The 23,964-nt window shown below is 39.0% G+C and overlaps 1 protein-coding gene across 12 annotated transcripts in view, besides 1 other annotated feature; it reads right to left on the bottom strand.

Annotated features, from left to right (window-relative positions):
* CCDC15 (coiled-coil domain containing 15) overlaps nt 1-23,964 on the bottom strand; it is an 87,288-nt gene that overhangs the window by 39,431 nt on the left and 23,893 nt on the right. For 3 of the 12 annotated variants that reach the window (XM_017018346.2, XM_017018352.2, XM_017018349.2), the window contains 6 exons: nt 15,171-15,317; nt 13,925-14,932; nt 10,845-10,964; nt 10,476-10,598; nt 9,372-9,479; nt 8,816-8,890 (listed from right to left, as the gene is read on the bottom strand). In XM_017018346.2, the coding sequence (XP_016873835.1) occupies nt 8,816-8,890; nt 9,372-9,479; nt 10,476-10,598; nt 10,845-10,964; nt 13,925-14,932; nt 15,171-15,317 (1,581 nt within the window). The remainder of the gene's footprint in view (nt 1-8,815; nt 8,891-9,371; nt 9,480-10,475; nt 10,599-10,844; nt 10,965-13,924; nt 14,933-15,170; nt 15,318-23,964) is intronic. The other 9 variants (NM_025004.3, XM_047427628.1, XM_017018353.2 and 6 more) reach the window with 7 other exon arrangements.
* Nucleotides 17,951-18,703: an enhancer, noted in NCBI's record as "H3K4me1 hESC enhancer chr11:124853252-124854004 (GRCh37/hg19 assembly coordinates)". NCBI's record gives its function as "activates a minimal SCP1, AML or CMV promoter by ChIP-STARR-seq in naive H9 embryonic stem cells {active_cell/tissue: H9 hESC(naive)}" and the evidence as "EXISTENCE:reporter gene assay evidence [ECO:0000049][PMID:30033119]".

The following is a 23,964-nucleotide window of genomic DNA, read 5'->3' as shown; positions in this document are numbered from 1 at the left end:
GGTGAGGATATGGAGAAATTTGAGTCCTCATATACCGCTGGTGGGAATGAAAAATGGTGCAGCTACTTTGGAAAAATCAGTTTGGCAGGTCCTCAAAAGGTTAAGCACAGTTATCATACGTTCCACCAATTCCACTATGAGGTATAATATGACCAAGAGAAGTGAAAAATATGCCCACAAAAAAAAAACTTGTACACAAATGTTCACAGCAGTACTATTCTTAACAGCCAAGAAGAAATAAGCCAAACTTCCATCAATAGATGAATTGATAAATAAAATGTGCTATATGCACAAAATGGAATATTTTTCAGCAATGAATAGGAACAAAGTACTGCTATATGCTACATCAATGGATTTTGAAAACACATGCTAAGTGAAAGAAGCCAGTCACGAAAGGCCACATCTTTCATGGTCTCCTTTACATAGACTACCCAGAATAGGCAAATCTGTAAAGACAGAAAATAGCTTAGTGGTTGCATAGGACTGGAGGTGGGGCTAAAGGGAAAAGTGGCGTGGTACAGGACTTTTGGGGGGTGATGAAAATGTTCTCAGATTGATTGTGGTTAATGCCACAAACACAACCTGTGATTTTTGCACAACCCTGTGAATACTAAAAATACTGTATACTTTAATAGGTCAATTGTATATGTGAATTATAGTCATTCATTATTTGCATATTCCACATTTGCAAATTTGCCTATTCACTAAAATTTATGTGTAATCCCAATACTTATGGTGCTTTTGCAGGCCTTTGCAGACATGCACAGAGCTGTGAAAAATTTGAGTCATCCAATATGCATGTTGCCAACTGAGGCTGACCAAGGTGATACTCTGCCTTTTTGTTTCAGCTCTCATACTGTAAACAAGTGTTCTTTTTGCAGTCTATTTGGTGCCAAGTTTTTGCATTTTTGTGTTCTATGTTGGTGATTTCACTGTTAAAATGGTCCCCATGCATAGCTGAAGTACTATCTATTATTACTAAGCACAAAAAGGCAGTGGTGTACCTTATGGAAAAAATATGCATGTTAGATAAGCTTCATTCCAGCATGAGTTACAGTGCTGTTGGCTGTGAGTTCATGTTAACGGATCAATCATATATATTAAATAAGGTGTTTTAAAGAGAAATATATATAAAATAAGGTTATGTATTGATTAGTTGACAAAAATGGTATGACCAGAGGCTTGCAGGAATCTACCCCTGGTATCTCCCCTAGGAGCAAAAATTCAGTATTTCCTGATTCAGTGTTTGTAACAACTTTATATAACACAACCACTATGAATGACAAGAATAAACTGTATATATCAATAAAGCTATTATTATTTTAGAAGTTATTTATTTGTTTTGTGACTCTAAAAGTCTGAAAATCTATACAGCAAAATGTTAATGTGAAATATCTCTAAAATTTGTGGTTATCTTTTTCATTTGTGTTTATCTTCTCTACAATAAAAATGAAATTACTTTCTGTTTTCAATAAAGAAAACTGGACTCCCAGTACTAATGACGAAGCACACTATGGGCTCTCTCTCTTGCTCTCATTGATTGTAACTAAGACTTCTGAGAAATGTAGCTCCTGGGATCTACCCCCTATGGAGAGCATAGGGGGTAACCTAGAGAGAAGTGAGCTAGAAAGTGGACCCCTTAATTCTGTGTGTGAACTGGCATATATCTCAGAATCCCCCTTGAATTGTGCATGTATGGGACAGACCTATAGGAGTATAATGAAAGCTTTGAAAACTAAAGTAACATTGAAGCCATGGTGCATAGGAGAGATCACTTACAGTTGGAATTTAACCAGGCTGACTGCCTGCTACAACAAACAAACAAATAAAAGATACAATATTCTTTAGAGGATTTTAACAGAAACCAGAGTCTCAAAATACAATATTAGAAATATTAGCCTGGCATGGTGGCTCATGCCTGTAATCCCAGCACTTTGGGAGGCCAAGGCGGGTGGATTACTTGAGGTCAGGAGTTCAAGACCGGCCTGGCCAACATGGTGAAACCCCGTTTCCACTAAAAATAAAAAAAATTAGCCAGGCGTGGTGGTGGGCGCCTGTAATCCCAGCTACTAGGGAGGCTGAGACACGAGAATCACTTGAACTCAGGAAGCAGAGGTTGCAGTGAGCCAAGATCACACCACTGCACTCCAGCCTGGGTGACAGAGCAAGACTCCATCTCAAAAAAAAAAAAAAAAAAAAAAAAAGTCTAGGATACAACTTAAAATTAGTTGACATAGAAGAAAGCAGGAAGATGTGACCAATTCTGAGGGGTAAAGATAATAAACAGATCCCAACTCCAGGGTGACCCGGATGTTGAATTAACAGACAAAACTTTTAAAGCAGTGATTAATACTTTATCTATGAGGTAAAGGCAAACCCAATTGAAGTGAATGAAAATACAAAAGTTCTCACCACAAAAATAAAAACTATTAAAAAAATGCAGATCCAAATTTTAGAGACAGAAAAACACAATATGTGAAATCAAAATTTCACTGGATAGACTCAATAGAAGAATGAAAAAAAAGTCAGTGAACTTGAATCTATTGGATCAATATAAATGATCCACTGTGAAGAACAAAGAGAAAAAATAAGACTGAAAAAAAAAATGAACAGCATGTAAATGATGCATCTGTGGGACAATATCAAAAGGTCTAAAATTTGTGTAACTGGAGTTGCAGAAGGAAAGGAGAAAATAATTAGTACATAAAAAAATTTGGAGACATAATGGCAAAAAACTTCCCAAATTTGGTCAAAGATATAGATTTACAGATTGAAAATGTTCATCATACCTGAGATGGGATAAACTAAAAAACATTATGCCCAGACACATCATAATTAAACTGCTGGAAACCAAAAAATAACAAGAGTTTTGAAAGTAGCCAGAAAAAACAGACACATTACATATAGAAGAACAATGACTCAAATAATTACAAATTTGCTATCGAAGACTGGAAACCAGAAGACAGTGGAAAAATGTTTCTAATGTGCAAGCAACAAAAAGAGTCAATAAGTAGAGACTCTCGGCCGGGCGCAGTGGTTCACGCCTGTAATCCCAGCACTTTGAGAGGCTGAGGCGGGCAGATCATGAGGTCAGGAGTTTGAGACCAGCCTAACTAACATGGCGAAACCCCTTCTCTACTAAAAATACAAACATTATCCAGGCATAGTGGTATGCACCTGTAATCCCAGGTACTCAGGAGGCTGAGGCAGGAGAATCGCTTGAACCTGGGGAAGCAGAGGTTGCAGTGAGCTGAGATCACACCACTGCACTCCTGCCTAGGCGACAGAGTGAGACTCTGTCTCCAAAAAAAAAAAAAAAAAGTAGAGACTCTCTCAAGTTTTTCATAAAAACATGTATGATTATTGGAGGCAAAAAAAAATGGAGTTTTCAGTGTAGATAGATGGAACACCTATGACAATTATAACATAAAGGAGAAAGGGGAAAAGGACCTATCTGATTATAAAGCTTCTACATTTACTTAATGTGGTAAACTATTAACTCAAAGTAGACTGTGAAAGGTTTGGTATGTATATTGTAATCCTCACAGCAACTATTATAAGATAATATGAAGAGATAGAGACAAAAAGGTAATAGGTCAGTTAGAATGAAATTAAGTAATATTTAAATAAAGAGACTTCTGCTTGAAGCCACAATGCAATAATAGAACGGAATTTACCTTCCTGCCTGAAGACTGAGAAAACAAAAAACAAACAAAAATCTATACAACAATGGTTTTTAAACACTGACTATAAGGAAGCACAGGATAATTATTTCTCATAGACAGTAAACAAATGTGGTCAGCACTACAACTGTCCCAGCTTACTGCCTGAATAATTTCTAGTCCACAACATGGAGAGAGGGATTCCAGACAGACCCTGGCAGCCTCTCTGGGGGGCAACAAGAAGAAACCACACTGCACCTTTAGCACTTTGCTTGCAAATCTCAGCTAAATTTCCAAGTTCATTGCTTAGAAGTTATGCCTTCCATACAACTGTAGGACACAATTTGGCTAAGCTTCCTACCACTAAATAACAAGGATTACCTTTCCCCCAGTTTCCATGTTCCTCATTTCCTTGAGCTTCACTGGCAGTTTGTTTGTTTATTTATTTATTTATGAGACAGAGTTTTGCTCTTGTCACCCAGGCTGGAGTGTAGTGGTGCGATCTCGGCTCACTGCAACCTCTGCCTCCTGAGTTCAAGTGATTCTTGTGCCTCAGCCACCCCTGTAGCTGCGATTACAGGTGCATGCCACCATGCCTGTCTAATTTTTATATTTTTAGTAGAAACAGGGTTTCACCTTGTTGGCAAGTCTGGTCTCAAACTCCTGGTCTCAAGTGATCCGTTCACCTCAGCCTCCCAAAGTGCTGGGATTATAGGCATGAGCCACCATGCCCAGTTGGCAGTATCTTTAATGTAGACATTTCCACCAATATTTTGCTTATAACAACGAAGATATTCTCTAAAATGATGGCCAGGAGCAGTGGCTCACACCTGCAATCCTAACACTTTGGGAGGCTGAGGCAGGAGGATCACTTGAGGCCGGGAGCTCAAGACCAGAGTAGGCATCACAGCAAGACCCTGTCTCTACAAAAATATAAACATTAGCCAAGCATGGGTAGCACAACCTCTAGTCCTAGCTACTTAGGAGGCTGAGGCAGGAGGATCACTTGAGCCACTCATTTGAGGCTTCAGTGAGCTATGATTGTACCACTGCAATCCAGCCTGGGCAACTGAGTGACAGTCTGTTTCAAAATATAACAATAATTTAAAAAATGATACAGGCTTTCTCTGTCATGGGCCTCAAAATTCTTCACCTCTATCCATTACCCATTTTTTTAGCCATTTCCACATTTTTTCGATATTTGTTGTAGCAGCACCCCATTCCCAGTATCAACTAGCTACAAACAGGAAACAACCCAGATGTCCATCAATAGGAGATTGAATAAACAAACTGTGATATATTCAAATAACGGAATGCTATACAGCAACGCAAAGAATACATTATTGATGCAGCAATATGAATGAATCTCAGAAACATTATGCTGAGCAAAAGGAACCTTACACAACAGGATTCATACTGTACAGGAAGGTCTACAACAGAGAAAACTGATTGTGGAACAGTCAATGGATAAATGGGTAATCAAAATGTAGTATATACATTCAGTGGAATGCTATTCAGCCTTAAAAAGGAAGTAACTCCTATAATATGCCATAGCATTATGCTAAGTGAAATAAGGCAGGCACAAAAGGGCAAATACTGTATGATTTCACTCATATGAGGTACCGAGAGTAATCAAATTCATGAATACAGAAAGTAGAATGGTGGTTGCCAGGGACATGGGGAGAAGAGACTGAGAAATTACTGTTTAACGGGTATATGGTCTCAGTTTTACAAGATGGAAAAAACTCTGGAGATGGATGGTGGTGATGGTTGCACAACAATGTGAGTGTACTTAACACCACTGAACTGTATACCTAAAAAGGATTAAAATGGGAAATTTTACGGTATGTATATTTTATCACAATTTTTAATGTGTCTATATTTACATGTGTATAAATGCTTATAAAGAGGACTCAAAGGATGCATACAACTCTTGACAGTGATTAACTCTGAAGAGGAGAGAATTAGCTGGTGGGGCTTGAAGAGAAAACTTTTCCTCTGAGATAGTAGGAATAAGTAATAATAGCAACAAAAAGAAAGTAAATGGTTAAGGCAGTTATTGTGTGATAGCTTTTATTTTCCGTATGAAAGTTGAGAATATGGGGGTGCAGCAGGAAGTTTAAGGAGAGTTTAAGATTTAGAATAGTCAGGGTAGGGCACTGGGCAGCCCTGGGAACCCTAAGTATGAATGTGATATAAATCTATACTATTAAAGTGTTTTGTTCAAAAAGGCTGGATTATTTGGCAGCGTAAAAGGTGAAAAGATGGCCAGGTACAGTGGCTCACACCTGTAATCCCAGCACCTTTGGGAGGCTCAGGTGGGAGGGTCACCTGAGGTCAGGAGTTTGAGACCAGCATGGCAAACATGACGAAACCCCATCTCTACTAAAAATACAAAAATTAGCCAGGCTTGGTAGCACATGCCTGTAGTCCCAGCTACTCAGGAGGCTGAGGCACAAGAATCACTTGAACCCGGGAGGCGGAGTTGCAGTGAGCTGAGATTGCGCAACTGCACTCCAGCCTAGGTGACAGAGTAAGACTCTGTCTCAAAAAAAAAAAAGGAGAAAAGGCTATTCCAGGGTTGAAAATTTCCAGGGATAGTAACAGCAGAAGGACAAGAAGAGATTCAGATCACCAAAGCTGTAACCTGAATTGAATAGTCCAGAGTAAGTACCCCTCTTGTGTGCTTTGTGAATGCCCCATGCGTCCTCTATCACTAATTATGCTGCTGCATAATTATGTTTATGTATCAGTCTCTCTTCTTTAGATTGTCTGAAATTTGAGTGTCGTGTCTTGCTCACAACTGTATCTTTGATATTTAGGACTTAAACAATGGCTAACACCTAAAACGTGCTCAATAGATGTTTGACTGATCAACTAACACATTCAAAACCTATCTACCAAGTGACTACTAGGTACTAGCCACTGTGCCAAGTGCTGTTCATACAATGGTAAACAAAACAGGTATGGTACCTCTCTCAAGAAGCTTATGGGCTAGTGGGAAATCTCCAGACAATAAGAAAACAAGCAAATTAATAATTAACTACAAATTGTTTTGTACTGAAAAGGCAACAAACAGAATGCAAGGATAGAGAAAAACAGAAAAAAGGAGATCTATTTTTGATAAGGTGGTAAGGATAGCCTTTTCCAAGGAGGTGACATTTAAGCTGAAACCCGAAGGATAAGAAGGGACCGACTTTATGAAGAAAAAAGGGAAGACTACCCAGACAAGAGGAAACAACATATGCAAAAGACCTGAGGTAGGAAAGAGCCTGGCAGGGCTCAGGATGTATAAATGACAATGTAGACTAAAACACAGCAGCATACCCTTAGGCCAACCTTACAGACCCAAACTAAAAATCACCAAGAGTTGCAGTTCAGTCCTGAAAACCGCAGCCCAAACTCTATTTTCTGCTTCTTTGCCTCCTTTGAATTTTGCCCTCTTAAAGAGGCCAAGAGAAAATTTCTCTTCAGTCTCTCACACAGCCTAACACTGCTGGTTGCCGTAAGCCTTCATTTTTAAAAACATAAAATCAGAAAATAAAAATTATGCACAGAGGGGTAAAATTCCAGTGATAATAAACTAAACTTCAGTTAAGCCACGGAAAAATCTTAGTAGGCCAGGATGTTGTAACATTTTCTTGAAAAACTACAGATCTTAACTCAATGCCCCCAAACCTTAGGCAACAGAAACCTAACAAGCTCCAGCCCAAACCTGATTAGTTTATTTCTTGGTGAGCCTGCCTTATGCTCTACCAGCTTACTGATGGAGATCTAGTACTGGCCATGGGGTGGAAGATCCTCATAACCCCTGCCCTCAGAAACTGCTCATTTCTTCCCCTCTCACACTGTAAAAGACAATGGCCATCAGAAATATACCTTTTATAAAAATACATCTAAAATATAGTTTTTCAAATGGACAATAAATGCTCCCCAAAATACCCTAGGTTTCAATGGGAGACCTAAAATAATCTTAGGATTAGGATAATAATATCAGGATACATTTTGCGCTGTATGAAATAAAACAGGAATGTGCTTCTTGATCAGCCTGACCACTCCCAGTTTAGTAGGTACCTATAATCTTGTCCAAATTCCACTGCTCATACCCTGTGATGTGCTCTACCTGTCGTCTGCTGGAAGTATCTCTCTGGTGCATGGGTGAAAGGTGCTAATGGCCACCCAGAAGCAAATCCTGTGGCCGTCTTTCAGCTGACCAAACAGATAGCTGCTGCCTAATGTATAAGTTCTAAAAGATACAAAAACACTTACCAAATTGTGTGAGCAGGGGTATCACAGTAGTGATAATACTGTAAGCTTCAGTGATAGCCCTGAAGTAATCTAAATGAGTCAGAATAGTCTGATATATTATGGCATAAAAGCAGACATTATACTTCTTGTCACCATTCTGGATCTTAACTCTACCTGCGAAGCAATCTTCAATTTCATCTATAATCCAAGGATAATAATAGTATCTATCTTCTATGGTTATTATGAAAATCAAATAAGATACTTCATATAAAATTCTAAAACCATTTTGGCTGTGGTAAGTGTTCAATGAATGTAAGCTGTTATTCATAATAATATTAATAACACTATTGCTAATCTTAAAAACAGATAACGTGATCATCATGATCTTTTTTGGTAACGAAACTATGACAAGCCCAGCTCAAACTCTAATTTGCTTTCTGTTGCTTACTCTTTAATACACCCTGCTCTACCTGCTCTCTGGCAGAGCCTGGATCTTGGATTTCATGTAAAATATATCCATGGCGCTATGGAAGTAACTCCTTCCTCCATCTCTCATCTCTCATATCACGTGAGGCCTACTCATAGTTCCTGTGCTAAAAGACAACATAAACACTGAACATAAGTTATCCAAGCGGGATCATCATTCCTGTGGCAATGGTAAAAGCTTCAGTCAAGAAGACTGAGGTAGTTTCAATAGGTCAGAATGGTGTGATACATCACAGAACAAAAGAACGTTATATTCTTTGCCCGTTATTACTAACCTTAACACTAAATTCCTGAAGCAGTTACATTGCCCTGTCAATCTTCAGCCAAAAAAAAAGCAATTTACACTCTGTTACTTACTCACTATATTCTGCTCTACTTCTCTAGAAGAGACTAGATCTTGAATATTGTGTGAAACATACCAAGGGCACTCCAGGAGTATTTCCTCTTGCAATCTCCCATTTCTCAAAAGATGAGGGTAGTTTGATATGCTTGTTCTAAAGGAACAACAAAATACAAAACTGATTGTCTAAGCAGAAATGACGGGCTAGTGACAGTATTATAGACTTCAGTGACAATCCCAGAGTAATGACACTAGGTGAGGATAATAGAACACAGTTAAAGCTGTGTGTGTGTTCAACATAAAAATTTCCAAACTTGCATCAAAGTAGAAAAAAAAAAAGTATAATGAATCTCAAGATTCAACAATTACCCAGATTCAACAATTAGCAACATTTTGCTTTATTATCTATCTCTTCTCCAATGTTTTTCCTGGAGTATTTTAAAGCAAATTCCAGATTATTCTGGCACATTTTGAAATAACCAAAAACATTATACTCTTAGCTTAATTCTGGAGGCCTTAATTCTATGTATTCCACAAACAAGCTAGCTTGACAGGCTTCAGCCTCAATGTTAATATGATTTAGGCTTGTTCCCCTTTTAGAAGGTATACAGTCCTCCTACTGTATTCGGTTCTACCTGTTCTCTAGGGGAGTCTTGGTCCTGGATTTTAGGTACAACATATTGATGATAGTCCAGAGGCAATTCTTCTCTCACTCTTTCTTCTCTCATAAAAGATGCAGGTTGCTTGAGAAACATATTTTAAAGGAAAAACAACAACAGAAAAAAAATTGTGTAATGCTAATCATAATATCATAAGCTTCAGTGAAAACTCCAGAGAAATGAAACCAGGTAAAAATATTCTGATACGTTTTGATATGAGGGAGATGTTACACTTTTAGCTCAACTATGTAGACCTTAATTCTTAATCCCATCATTGACAGAATAGTCTGACAAACTCATCAAATCCTAAGTATCTTCTAGTTCCTACATTGTACATGTAGGGGCATTATGCTTGCAGCAATACTGTTGGCTTTGGTAAGAGTTGAAGAATAATCTTGTTAAATTAAAATAGTCAACTGATTCTGGAATAAGATATGAACGTGATACATCAGCCTCAGAAATCACTGAACTGATTTTGACTCATATAGTTCCCTAGACCAGGGTCTTTTGTACCACTGAAGTACAAAGTAGAAGAGAAAAAAACAAAAAGGAGAGAGACCAGGAGGAACTGAATTGTTTAGTGTTTAACACTCTATGCTCCTGAAGCAGTTCCTCTGTTCTAATAGGACTTAGGATCATCTTCCCACTAATGTGGGAAGGAATAAAAAATACTGTATTCTGGCCGGGGACAGTGGCTTACGCCTGTAAACCCAGCACTTTGGGAGGAAGAGGCGGGCAGATCACCTGAGGTCAGGAGTTCGAGACCCGCCTGGCCAACATGTTGAAACCCCATCTCTACTAAAAAAACAAAAATTAGCCAGGCGTGCTGGCATGCGCCTGTAATCCCAGCTACTCGGGAGGCTGAGGCAGGAGAATCGTTTGAACCCAGGAGGCAGAGGTTGCAATGAGTCGAGATTGTGCCACTGCACTCCAGCCTGGGCGACAGAGAAAGACTCCATCAGAAAAAAGCCACTATATTCTTAGGTTAGCTCCAAAATCCCTCATTCTAAATTACCAGTTGTTGGGATTTATAAAACCTGGGTACTTCCTTCCTGTTTATATCTTTTTCTTCTACTCTACCTGATTTTTGATGTCATCCTGGTCCTGGGATTTGGGAGGCAAACACTGATAGTCTGCCAGAGAAAAGTCTTCTCTCCCTTTCTCATCTGTCATATCAGAGTATGGCTCCTTAAAGTGTACTTTCTAAAAGATAAAATAATAAAAAACTATAAATTGTCTAGCAAGACTAATATGATGGCAATAATATTCTAGGCTTCATTGAAGGCCAAAGGGTAGTTTTTTTCAGGATAATATAAAACATTATGGAATAAAAGAGACACTCATACTTTTTGTCAGTTCTGAAGTTTAGCTGAGAACAACCTTTGAAAGCTTCAAACTACACTCTAAACAATTCAGTTCCTGTTGGTCTCTGTCATTTTTCTTTTCTACCTTGCCTCTGATGGAGGCCTGATGATGCCTGCATAGAAGATCCTGATGGACATCCAGAGGAAGTGCCTCTCTCCCTCTCCTACCTATCAAAATGGATGTTGGCTGCTTCAGACTTGCTTTCTATGAAAGAACAAACACAACATATCAATTGCTCCGTTAAGAATGACAGGTTAAGACTTTAGGTTTTAGTGAGAATTCTGGAGTTAACCAAGATCAGAATATAATTGAGCACCTTATGGAAAAACCAAAAACTACACTCCATTCCACAAAAGTCCAACCACAACCCTAAGTAATCTAATTCCTGTTGGTCTTTCTTCTTCCTTTTAGTCTAACTCATCTCTGGTGGAGGGATGGCCTTGGAACCTGTGTGAAAGATACTGCTGAGTACTTATGGACCACTCCTTTTTCCATCTTTCAGCTGTCTAAGCAGATAATGGCTGCCAGAAATATTTCTCCCAATGAAGAAGATTAAAAATAAAAAATTAAATTGTTCACAAAATCTGGGTAGAGTGTTGATTTAAAAAATTGAATAAAAAGAAAAGAAACAGCAAATTGTTTATTTGGAGTAATATGCTGCTGGTAATACTTTAACATTTAGTAAGAGCACTGGAGTTTTGAGAAATCAATCAAGAAACTATTTTTTCCAAGTATGGATCTCCAAATCAGGTACAATATACAGCATACCTATTTTTATTATGCTTTGCAGATGTTGTGTTTTTTACAAACTGAAGGTTTGTGGCAATCATACGTCAAGCCAATACACTGGTGTCACTTTTCCAACAGCATGTGCTCGTGTAATGTCTCTGTGTCACATTTTGGAAATTTTCACAATAGTTCAGACTTTTCCATTACTATTATATCTGGTATAGAGATCTATGATCAGTGATCTCTGATGTTACTATCCTAATTGTTTTGGGGCACCATAACCACGCTCATCTAAGACAGCAAACCTAACTGATAAATGTTGTGTGTGTTCTCACTGTTCTACCACCTGGCCACCCCCCTACCTCTCCTTAGGCCTCCCTATTCACTGAGACACAACAATATTGAAATTAGGCCAATTAATAACCCTACAATGGTCTCTAAGTGTTCAAGTGAAAGAAAGAACCACATGTCTCCCACTTTAAAGCAACAGCTAGAAATTATTAAGCTTAGTGAAACAGGCCTGTTGAAAGCCAAGACAGTCCGAAGGCTAGGCCTCTTGTACCAAACAGCCCTGTGTGAATGCAAAGGAAAAGTTCTTGAAGGAAATTAAAATCTACTCCAGTGAATACATGATAAGAAAGCAAAATAGCCTTATTGCTGATATGCAAAATGTTTTAGCAGTATGGACAGATCAAACCAGCCACAACAGCTCCTTAAGCCAAAGCCTGATCCAGAGCAAGGCCCTAACTCTCTTCAATATTATGAAGGCTGAGAGAAGTGAAAAAACTACAGAAGAAAAGTTGGAAGTTAGCAGAGGTTGGTTCATGAGGTTTAAGGAAATAAGGTGTCTCTATAACATCAAAGGGCAAGGTGAAGCGGTAAGTGCTGATGAGAGGCTACAGCAAGTTATCTAGAAGATCTAGCTAAGATCACTGATGAAGGTGGCTACACTGGACAACAGATTTTCAGTTTGGACAAAACAGCCTTATATTGGAAGAAGATGACTAGGAGTTTCACAGCTAGAGAGAAAAAGTCAATGTCTGGCTTCAAAGTTTCAAAGGACAGGCTGACTCTCTTGTTAGTGGCTAATGCAGCTGGTGACTTTAAGTTGAAGCCAATGCACATTTACCATTCCAAAAGTCCTAGGACCCGTAAGAATGGCACTAAATCTACTTTTCTTGTGCTTTGTGAAGGGAATAACAAAGCCAAGATGACAGCACATCTGTTTACAGCATGTTTTACAGAATATTTTACACTTACTGTTGAGACCAACTGTTCCAAAAAAAATAAAGATGCCTTTTAAACTGCTCATTGACAATGCACCTAGTCACCCAAGAGCTCTGATGAAGATATACAAGGAGATTAATGTTGTTTTTTCATGGCTGCTAACACAACATCCATTCTGTAGTTTGTGGATCAAGAAATAATTTTGACTTTCAAGTCTTGTTATTTATAAAATACATTTCTGTCACGGACAGCAATTCCTCTGATAGATATGGGCAAAGTAAGTTGATACCCTCTGGAAAGGGTCCACCATCTTGATGCCATTAAGAACATTCATGAATCATGGGAGGAGGTCAAAATATCAACCTTAACAGGAGTTTGGAAGAAGTTGATTCGAACCCTCATGGACTTTGAGGCATTCAAGACTTCAGTGAAGGAAGTAATTGTAATGTGGTAGAAACAGCAAGAGAACTAGAATTAGAAGTGGAGCCTGAAGATGTGAGTGAATTGCTGCAATCTCATGTTCAAACTTAAATGGATAAGGAGTTACTTCTTATGATGAGCAAAGAAAGTGTTTTCTTGAGATGGAATCTACTGTGAACATTGTTAAAATGACAACAAAGGGTTTAGAATATTACACGGACTTAGCTGATAAAGCAGTGGCAGGGTTTGAGGGAATTGATTCCAATTCTGAAAGAAGTTCTACTGTAGATCAAATGCTATCAAACATTATCACATGCTACAGAGAAATGTTTCGTGAAAGGAAGAGTCAAATGATGTGGCAAACTTCATCATCTTAAGTAACTTCCACAGCCACCCCAAACATCAGTAATCACCACCCTGATTAGTCAGCAGATAACAACATTGAGCCAAGACCCTCCACCAGCAAAAAGATTATGGCTTGCCGAAGACTCAGATAATCGTAAGCATTTTTTAGCAATAAAGTATTTTTAAATTAAGGTATGTACTTTTTTTAGGCATTATGCTATTGCACACTAATAAACTACAGTACAATATAAACATAACTTTTATATGTACTGGGAAGCCAAGAAATTTGTGTGACTTACTTTATTCCAATATTTGCTTTATTGCAATGGCCTGGAACTGAACCCACAGTATCTCCAAGGTATACTTGCAGTCCTTACAAATCCCTCCTCAAACCCTAAGTAGCTTATTTCTTCTTTTTGTATCTCCTTTCTGCTCTATTTTACCTGATATTTTGGTAGAAAATCTTGGTCCTGACATTTGGGTAGAATATTCTGGTCGTTGGAGAGAACATGCAGGTCTCTGGGTAGAAAATCCCGGTCCTGACATATGGGTAGAATATTTTGGTCTTTAGGAAGATAACCTTGGTCTCTGGGTAGAAAATCCTGGTCCTGACATATGGGTAGAATATTTTGGTCTTTGGGAAGAACACCTTGGTCTCTGGGTAGAAAATCCTGGTCCTGACATTTGGGTAGAATATTCCAGTCTTTGGGGAGAACATGCTGGTCTCTAGATAAAAAGTCCTGGTCTTTAGGTAGAAAATCCTGGCCTTGATATTTAGGTAGAATATTCTGGTCTTTGGGGAGAACATGCTGGTCTCTAGACAAAAAATTCTGGTCCTTAGGTAGAAAATTCTGGTCCTGATATTTTGGCAGAATATCTTGGTCTTTGGGGAGAACATGCTGGTCTCTAGATAAAAAATTCTGGTCCTTAGGTAGAAAATTCTGGTCCTGATATTTTGGCAGAATATCTTGGTCTTTGTGGAGAACATGCTGGTCTCTGGGTAGGAAGTCCTGGTCCTGATATTTGAGTAGAATACTCTGGTCTTTAGGGAGAACACAGTGGTCTTTGAGTAAAACATCCTGGTTTTTCGTTAGAAGAGCCTGATTTGTGGGTAGAAAATCCTGGGTTTTCAACACAATACTCCCTTCTTCTAGCTCAATACTCTGGGCTTTCAGCATAATACCCTGAGTTTCTGTCTTAATAGGCTGGCCTTCTGGCTCAATGGCCTGGCCTTCTGGCTCAGTAACCTGAACCTTCATTTCAACAGCCTGGGTATCTGGCTTAACACTCTGGATTCCTGTCAAATCACCCTGGGTTTCCAGCAAATCACCTTGGGCTTCTAGAAAATAATCCTGGGCTTCTGGCAGAATATCCTGAAGGCCCTCAAAATGTAACTGCTTTTGTTCTTCCTCTTCCATCAGAACAAATAATGGATTTTTGAATTTTACTTTCTAAAAGTGAACATAAACACCAAATACAGAATGTGAGTTAGTAGCAATACTCTAGATTTTCCAAAATAATCGAAATATCAAAATGATATGGCAGTGAAGCAAATTACTAGAACAAAATGTGAAATTATAATCTTTGTCCAACTTAACAAAAGCTAAATCTACAATCCTAAATCAGTACAACATTACTGGCAATACCTAGTCCAAATCACAATTAATTTAATTTCTCTTATTGCTTTACCTGAACTCTGCTGAAAGGTTTGTTCTTATCTTCAGAATGGATAGCCTGCTGGTCCTGCTGGCCTCTCCCAAACAAATCTTCTTTCCCTTTCTCATCAGTTACAAGAGATGAAGATTCCTCATAGTCAGGTTCCTCATAGTCAAGTTCCTAAAGAAAAAAACAATGAAAACGCGCACGCGCGCGCGCGCACACACACAAACACACACACACACACACACACAGCACCATGTAGCTATTATAGGAAGAAACAATGTGATTGCAATAAAATTCTAGGCTTCAGGTCACTGCTATTATAATTTTAGTAGGTCAGCATAGTCAAATGTTATACAATGTTTACAGTGCAGGACTGTATAATGAAAACTAAAAAGATAATTGAAAGAAATGACAGATGATCAAAATAAATGGAAAGACATAACATGTTCATGGATCAAGAGAAAAGATTGGTAAGATGGTAATATTTCTCAAATTTACAACACTCCCTATCAAAATGCCACTTGGCTTTTCTTTGGCAGAAATTAACAAGTTAATCATAAAATTCAGATGGAAATGCAAGGAACCCATAGTAGCAAAACACTTTCTTGAAAAAGAAGAACAAAGATGAAGATCTCATTCCTCCCAATTTCAAAAGTTACCACAAAGTTATAGGAATCAAGACATTGTAATACTGACACATACAGAACAATGGAACAGAACTCAAAGTTCAGAAATAAACCCTCACATTTATAGTCAATTGATTTTTGACAAGAGTACCAAGAAAATTCAATGAGGAAAGAATAGTGTTTTCAACAGGTGATGCTGAGACAACTAGACACCTATATTCAAAAGAATGAAGATGAACCACTTATTTACAGCATACATAAAAATTAACTCGAAATGGATCACAGACCTAAAATTAAGAGCTAAAAACTATAAAATCTTAAAAGAACACATAGGAATAAATCTTCATGATCTCAAGATAAACAATTATTATTAGATAATTCATCAAAAGCACAAGCAACATAAGAAAAAAAGAAGTGACTAATTTAAAAATCTTATGCCATAAACAATACTATTAATCAAGTAAGATAACAGTCTACAGAATGGGAGAAAATACTTGCAAATCAACTATCTGATAAGGAACTTGTATCCAGAATATATACATATTATATATATACATTTTATGTATAAATTTATATATATATAAACACTTAACAATTTGATAATAAAAAGACAACCCAATTAAAAAATGGGTAAAGCACATGCATGACATTTTATCCACAAGAGTTACACAACTGGGCAACAAGCACATGAAAAGATACTGAAGATCATTAGTCATCAGGAAAATATACTACAAATCAAAAGGACAGTGAGATACCAATTCACATCTACTAGGATAGCTATAACAGAAGAGAAGGACAATAATAAGTGTTGGAGGATACAGAGAAATTGGAACCCTCACATATTGCTGGTGGAAAACTGTTTAGCAGTTCTTTGAAATGTTAAACATAGAATTACTATATGATCCAGCAGGTTCACTCCTAGAAATGAATGTCCTAAAAGAAATGAATGTCCACACAAAAATGTGTACACAACTGCTCATACACAATCGTTCATAATTCATAAACACCAAGAAGTGAAAAGAACGCCAAAGTCTACTAACTGATAAATGGATAAACCAAATGTGGTACATCTATACAATAAATTATTCAGCAATAAAAAGAATGAAGTACTGATACATCCACTACAATGTGGATGAACTTTAAAACATTATGCAAAGAGAAAAAACAGTCACAAAAGACGATATATCATATAATTCCTTTCATATGAAATGTCCAGTATAGGTAAACCTATACAGACAAAAGGTAGATTAGTAGCTGCCTAGGATTGAGGTTAAGGGCAAGGAGAGAATGAGATAGAGGGTTTCTCTTAGGAGTGAAGAAAATGCTCTAGAGCAAATCCCAAAAACAAGATAGCTGGCTAGAAGCAGCCAGGAGGAACATCTACTACCGAGAGACTGGAACATTAGGTACACTCTTAGCAGATCTCTGGAGGGAAGGCATTAAGAGTGGACAGAGGGAAGACACAGATGCTGGGCCAAAGGAGGAGGAAGGTGGGAACCTTGAAGAGGGCTACCGTGCACCAGGACTTGTTCCTGGCCCCCAGTGGCTCCTGGGGAAGGGATGAATTGAACAAGTGAGAAGAGACCTGCTCACTCCACAGACCTCTGGAATCCTGGCAGCAGGAGACCCCATAACCCCACTGACACTTGCGCTGGCAGGGAGAGCTGCTTAGAGAGGTGGTGGGCAGAATTCCAGCCGGTGCAAAGCCTAGAGGGTTTGGTAAAGGAGTATCTGTAGTGGGGCATGGTCAGGCTGTCCATCCCCCAAGGCCCACCTTGCTCCCCTAGGAGACATTAGCCACAGGGGAACTGTCGGACGTGAACAGTGCAGGGCGATCTTGCCCGTGAGACAGGGCCAGTTTTACATGAGTGCACCCCTGTCTACCAGCCTCTCCCAGGGCCCCAGCCCTGCTTGCAGTGCAACCTCAGATGCCCACCGGGGTGCCTCCCAGAGGCCCACATAATAGCTCCTGTGCTGGCAGACCATGCCTGACCATCACAGCAGACCACACCAACCAGCATGAGCCTGCCTATGCCCTTCCCCCACTGCGTCCTCCCTCATGCCACTTTTCCAGCATGCACTCATCCATAGCAACACCTACATCATTTTACTCACATGTGTGTGTGCAGGCAGACCTCACCTCTGCTTCCCCACCAGTGTGCATGCATCCCACCATGCCACTGCTGCCAATGTGAGCGCACCCTGCCTGCAATGGTGTGTCACTACTGCCAATGCAAAGGCACTCAAGGAGACGAGCAGCCCTACCCCCTGCCCTGCACGGCCACTGCTGCACATGAACGCCTACCTGGAGGGAACCAGCCCCATGCCTGTGAGTGCCCCATGACATGCTGACACTGCCACCAGAGTGAACATGCACACTGATGCCAGTAGGCCCCACTCCCGCCGCTCCATCCTCTGGTGCAGCACTGCAACCACCACCACTGCAAATGCCCACAAGGAGGCCAGCACCCCTGCACCTGCCGGCACCCCACCACGGCGTGTACCCTGCCACGCTGCCACTGCTGCTGGCACATAAAAACAAGCATGAATCCCATTGCCACCACCCAAAAAAGCGTTTTGGCTGGCACCATCCATCAGTGTGTTGTGACCAGCAGCCTGGGAACACCTTAGCTCCTCCAGTGTGGCAGGTTCCTAACCTTAAGAGGCCAGAGAACAAAGCCAGGGCCAATACCAGCCCCCCAGATTTGGAGCACACAGTCCAAGAGTCATGAGCTGAGTTCTGGCCCCTAAAATCTTCCAGAAATGAAGCCAGTCAACTGACTCCCCCTTATACCAGAATCAAACCCCCAAGGACATCAAAGAGGATTAAAAAAAAAAATCCAAAGGATAGCAACTTCAAAGACTGAAGGAACAACACAGCCCACAAACATAAGAACCAGTGCAAGAACTCTGACAACTCAAAAAGCCAGAATGTCTTCTTACCTCAAATGACTGCACTAGTTCCCCAACAATAATTCTTAACTAGTCTGAAATGGTTGAGATAACAGGAATAGAAATCAGAACATGGATAGGAACAAAAATATCGACATTCAGGAGAAAGTTAAAACCCAGTCCAAGGAATCTAAGTATTACAATAAAACGATACAGAAGCTGATAGACAAAATGGCCATTATAAGAAGCAAACTGATCTGATAGAGCTGAAAAACACACTACAAGAATTTCATAATGCAGTAGTATTAATAACAGAATTAACCAAGCTGAGGAAAGAACCTCAGAGCTCAAAGACTGGCTCTCCAAAATAACTCAGTCAGACAAAAATAAAGAAAAAAGAATAAAGAAGAATAAACAAAACCTCCAAAAAATATGGAAGTATATAAAAAGACCAAATCTATGACTCATTGGCATCCCTGAGAGGGAAAGAAACCAAGCAACTTGCAAAATGTATTTCATATTTTCATATCATCCATGAAAATTTGTCCAACCTGGCTAGAGAGGCCAACATTCAAATTCAGGAAATGCAGAGAACCCCTGCAAAATACTACAAAAGAAGAAGACCATCCCCCAACCACACAGTTCTTAGATTCTCCAAGGTCAAAATAAAAGAAAAAATGTTAAAGGCAGCCAGGGAGAAGAGATAGGTCATCTACAAAGGGAATCCCATCAGGTTAACAGCAAACCTGGTGGCAGAAACCCTAAAAGCTGGAAGAGATTGGGGGCCTATATTAAGCATTCTTAAAGAAGAGAATTTACAACCAAGAATTTCACATCCAGCCACACTAAGCTTCATAAGTGAAGAAGAAATAAGATATTTTTCAGACAAGCAAATGCTAAGGGAATTCATTACCATCAGACCTGCCTTACAAGAGGTGCTGCAGAGAGTGCTAAATATGGAAAGGAAAGACTATTACTGGCCACTACAAAAACACACTTAAGTACATAGACCAGTGATACTATAAAGCAACCACATAAACAAGTCTGTATAACCAGCTAACAACATGATGACAGGATCAAATCTGCACACACCAAATACTAACCTTGAATGTAAATGTACTAAATGCCCCATTAAAAGGCACAGAGTGGCAAGTTGGGTAAAGAAGCAAAACCCAATGGTATGCTGTCTACAAGAGACTCATCTCATATGAAATGACACCAATAGGCTCAAAGTAAAGGGATGGAGAAAAATCTACCAAGCAAATGGAAACCATAAAAAAGCAGGGGTTGCTATTCTAGTTTCAGACAAAACAGACTCTGAACAAATAACAATTTAAAAAAAGACAAAGAAGGGTATTACATAATAGTAAAAAGCTCAATTGAACAAGAAGACCTAACTATCCTAGATATATATGCACCCAATACAAGTGCAACCAGATTCATAAAGCAAGTTCTTAGAAACCTATGAAGAGACTCAGGCCAGCTGCGATGGCTCATGCCTGTAATCCCAGCACCGTGGGAAGCTGAGGTGGGCGGATCACTTGAGATCAGGAGTTCAAAACCAGCCTGGCCAACATGAAGAAACCCCATCTCTACCAAAGAATACAAAAATTAGCCACACATGATGTTGTGCATCTGTAGTCCCAGCTACTCAGGTGGCTGAGTTGGGAGCATCACTTGAATCCAGGAGGCAGAGGCTGCAGTGAGCTGAGATCATGCCACTGCACTCCTGCCTGGACGACAGAGTGAGACCCCACAAGACTGAGATAACCACACAATAATAGTGGGAGATTTCAACGGCCCCCTGACAATATTAAAGAGATCACTGAGTTGAAGGCCAGACTGGCCAATATGGTAAAACCCTGTCTCTGCTAAAAATACAAAAATTAGCCAGGTGTGGTAGTGGGTGCCTGCAGTCCCAGCTACTCAGGAGGCTGAGGCAGGAGAATCACTTGAACCCAGGAGGCAGAGGTTTCAGTGAGCCAAGATCATGCCACTACACTCCAGCCTGGGTGACAAAGCAAGACTCCATCTCCAAAAGAAAAAGAGATCATAAGGCAGAAAACTGACAAAGATATTCAGGATCTGAGCTCAACACTTGACTAAATGGACCTTATAGATATCTACAAAACTCTCCACCCCAAAGTTAACAGAATATACATTCTTCTCATCTGCACATGGCACACACTCTAAAATCAACCACACAATCAGCCATAAAACAATCCTCAGCAAATTCAAAAAAACACAAAAAAACAAAAATCAAACCAACCATGCTTTCGGATCACAATGCAATAAAAATAGAAATCAGTGCTAAGAAAATCACTCAAAACCATACATTTACATGGAAATTAAACAACCTGCTCCTGAATGGCTTCCAGGTAAATAATGAAATTAAGGCAGAAATCAAGAAATTATTTGAAACTAATGAGAAAAAAGATACAACATACCAGAATCTGTGGGACACAGCCAAAGCAGTGTTAAGAGGGAAGTTTATAGTTTTAAACACCCACATCAAAAAGTTAGAAAGGTCTCAAATTAACAACCTAACATCAAACTAGAAGAACTAGAGAAACAAGAACAAACCAGCCCCAAAGCTAGCAGAAGACATGAACTAACCAAAATCAGGGCTGAACTGATAAAAACTGAGAAACAGAAAACACACAAGAAATCAATTAATCCAGGAACTGGTCTTTTGAAAGAATTAATAAGACAGAGCACTAGCTAGATTAATTAAAAAGAGAGAATATCCAAATAAACACAATCAGAAATGACAAAGGGGACATTACCACTGGCCTCACAGAAACACAAAAAAACCCTTGGAGACTATGATGAACACCTCTATGCACACAAGCTAGAAAATCTGGAAGAAATGGATAAATATCTGGAAACATACAACCTCCCAAGATTGAACCAGGAAAACACTGAATCCCTGAATAGACCAATAACACGTTCTTAAAATGAATTAGTAATAAAAAGCCTATCAACCAGAAAAAGCCTAGGACCAGACAAATTCATAGCTGAATTCTACCAGATGTTATAAAGAAGAACTGGTATCATTTCTACTGAAACTATTCCAAAAGATTGAGGAGGAGGAAGTCCTCCCTAACTTATTCTACAAGGCCAGCATCATCCTGATACCAAAACCTGGCAGAGACACAACAAAAAAACAAAACTTCAGGCCAATATTCTTGATAAACATAGATGCAAAAATCCTCAACAAAATACTAGCAAACCAAATCCAGCAGTGCATCAAAAAGCTAATCCACCATAATAAAGCTATCCCTGGGATGCAAGGTTGGTTCAACATACACAAATCATTAATTGTGATTCACCACATAAACAGAACTAAAAACAAAAACCACATGATGATCTCAAGAGATGCAGAAAAGGCTTTCAATAAAATTCAACATCCTTTCATGTTAAAAACCCTCAACAAACGAGGCATTTGTTTGAAGGAATATACTTCAAAATAAAAATAGCCATCTATAACAAAAAACCCAGAGCCAACATCATACTGAATAGGCAAAACTGGAAGCATTCCCCTTGAAAACCAGAACAAGACAAAGATGTCCTCTCTCATCATTCCTATTCAACATGGTACTAGAAGTGCTAGCCAGAGCAATCAGGCAAGAGAAAGAAAAAAAATGACATCCAAGTAGGAAGAGAGGAAGTCAAACTATCCCTATTTGCAGAAGATATGATTCTATACCTAGAAATCCCCATAGTCTCTGCCCAAAGCTCCATGATCTGATAAACAACTTCAGCAAAGTTTCAGGATACAAAATCAGTAGCATTCCTATACACCAACAATACCCAAGCTAAGAGCCAAATCAAGTATGCAATCCTATTCACAATAGCCACAAAAGAATAAAATACCTAGGAATACAGCTAACTAAGGAGGTGAAAGGCCTCTACAATAAGAATTAAAAAACAATGCTCAAAGAAATCAGAGATGACACAAACAAATGGAAAAACATTTCATGCTCATGGATAAAAAGAATCAATATAGTTAAAATGGCCATACTGCCCAAGGCAGTGTACAGATTCAATGCTATTCCTATCAAACTACCAATGACATTCTTCATAGAAACTATTTGAAAATTCATATGAAAACAAAAAAGAGCCTGAATAGCCAAGGCAATTCTAAGAAAAAGAGCAAAGCTGGAGGAATCACATTACCCTACTTCAAACTACACTACAAGGCTACAGTAACCAAAACATGGTATCAGTACAAAAACAGATACATGGACCAATGGAACAGATAGAGAGCCCAGAAATAATGCTGCACACCTACAACAATCTGATCATCAGCAAAACTGACAAAAACAAGCAATGGGGAAAGGACTCCCAATTCAGTGGTACTGGGATATATTTGGCTAGCTATATGCAGAAGATTGAAACTGGACTCATTCCTTATGCCATATATAAAAATCAACTCAAGATGAATTAAAGACTTAAATGTAAAACCTAAAAGCATAAAAAACACTAGAAGATAACATAGGAAATATCAATCTGGACATAGAAACAGGCAAAGATTTCATGATGAAGATGCCAAAAGCAACTGCAACAAAAAAAAAAATGACAAATGGGATCTAATCAAACTGAAGAGCTTCTGCACAGCAAAAGCAACCATCAACAGAGTAAACACACAACCTACAGAATGGGAAAAAATATGCATCAAAGAAAGGTCTGATATCCAGAATACAAGGAATTAAACAAATTTACAAGCAAAAAACTCCATAAAAGAGGGCAAAGGATATTAACAGACACTTCAAAAGAAGACATACACATGGCCAAGGACCACTCATTAGAGAAATGCAAATCAAAACCACAAGATACCATCTCACACCAGTCAGAAAAAGCCAAAAGATTACAGATGCTGACACGGCTGTGGACAAAAAGGAATGCTTATACACCACTAAGGGGAATGTAAATTAGTTCGGCCATTGTGGAAAGCAGTTTGGTGATTTTTCAAAGAACTTAAAACAGAATTACCATTCAACCCAGCAATCCCATTATCTGGTATATACCCAGAGGAATATAAATTGCTCTGCCTTAAAGATACATGCACACATATTTTCATCACAGCACTATTAACAATAGCAAAGACACAGAATCAACCTAAATGCCCATCAACAGCAGACTGGATAAAGAAAATGTGGTACACATACACCATGGAATACTATGCAGCCATAAAAATGAATGAGATCATGTCCTTTGCATCAACATGTATGAAACTAGAGGCCATTATCCTAAGCAAACTGCAAACTAATTCATGAACAGAACACCAAATACCACATGTT

Source organism: Homo sapiens, chromosome 11 (assembly GCF_000001405.40).
Source record: "Homo sapiens chromosome 11, GRCh38.p14 Primary Assembly".
Taxonomy (NCBI): Eukaryota; Metazoa; Chordata; class Mammalia; order Primates; family Hominidae; genus Homo; species Homo sapiens.
The sequence above is the reverse complement of the archived record's forward strand: the minus strand, read 5'-3'. Positions and strand labels throughout refer to the sequence as shown.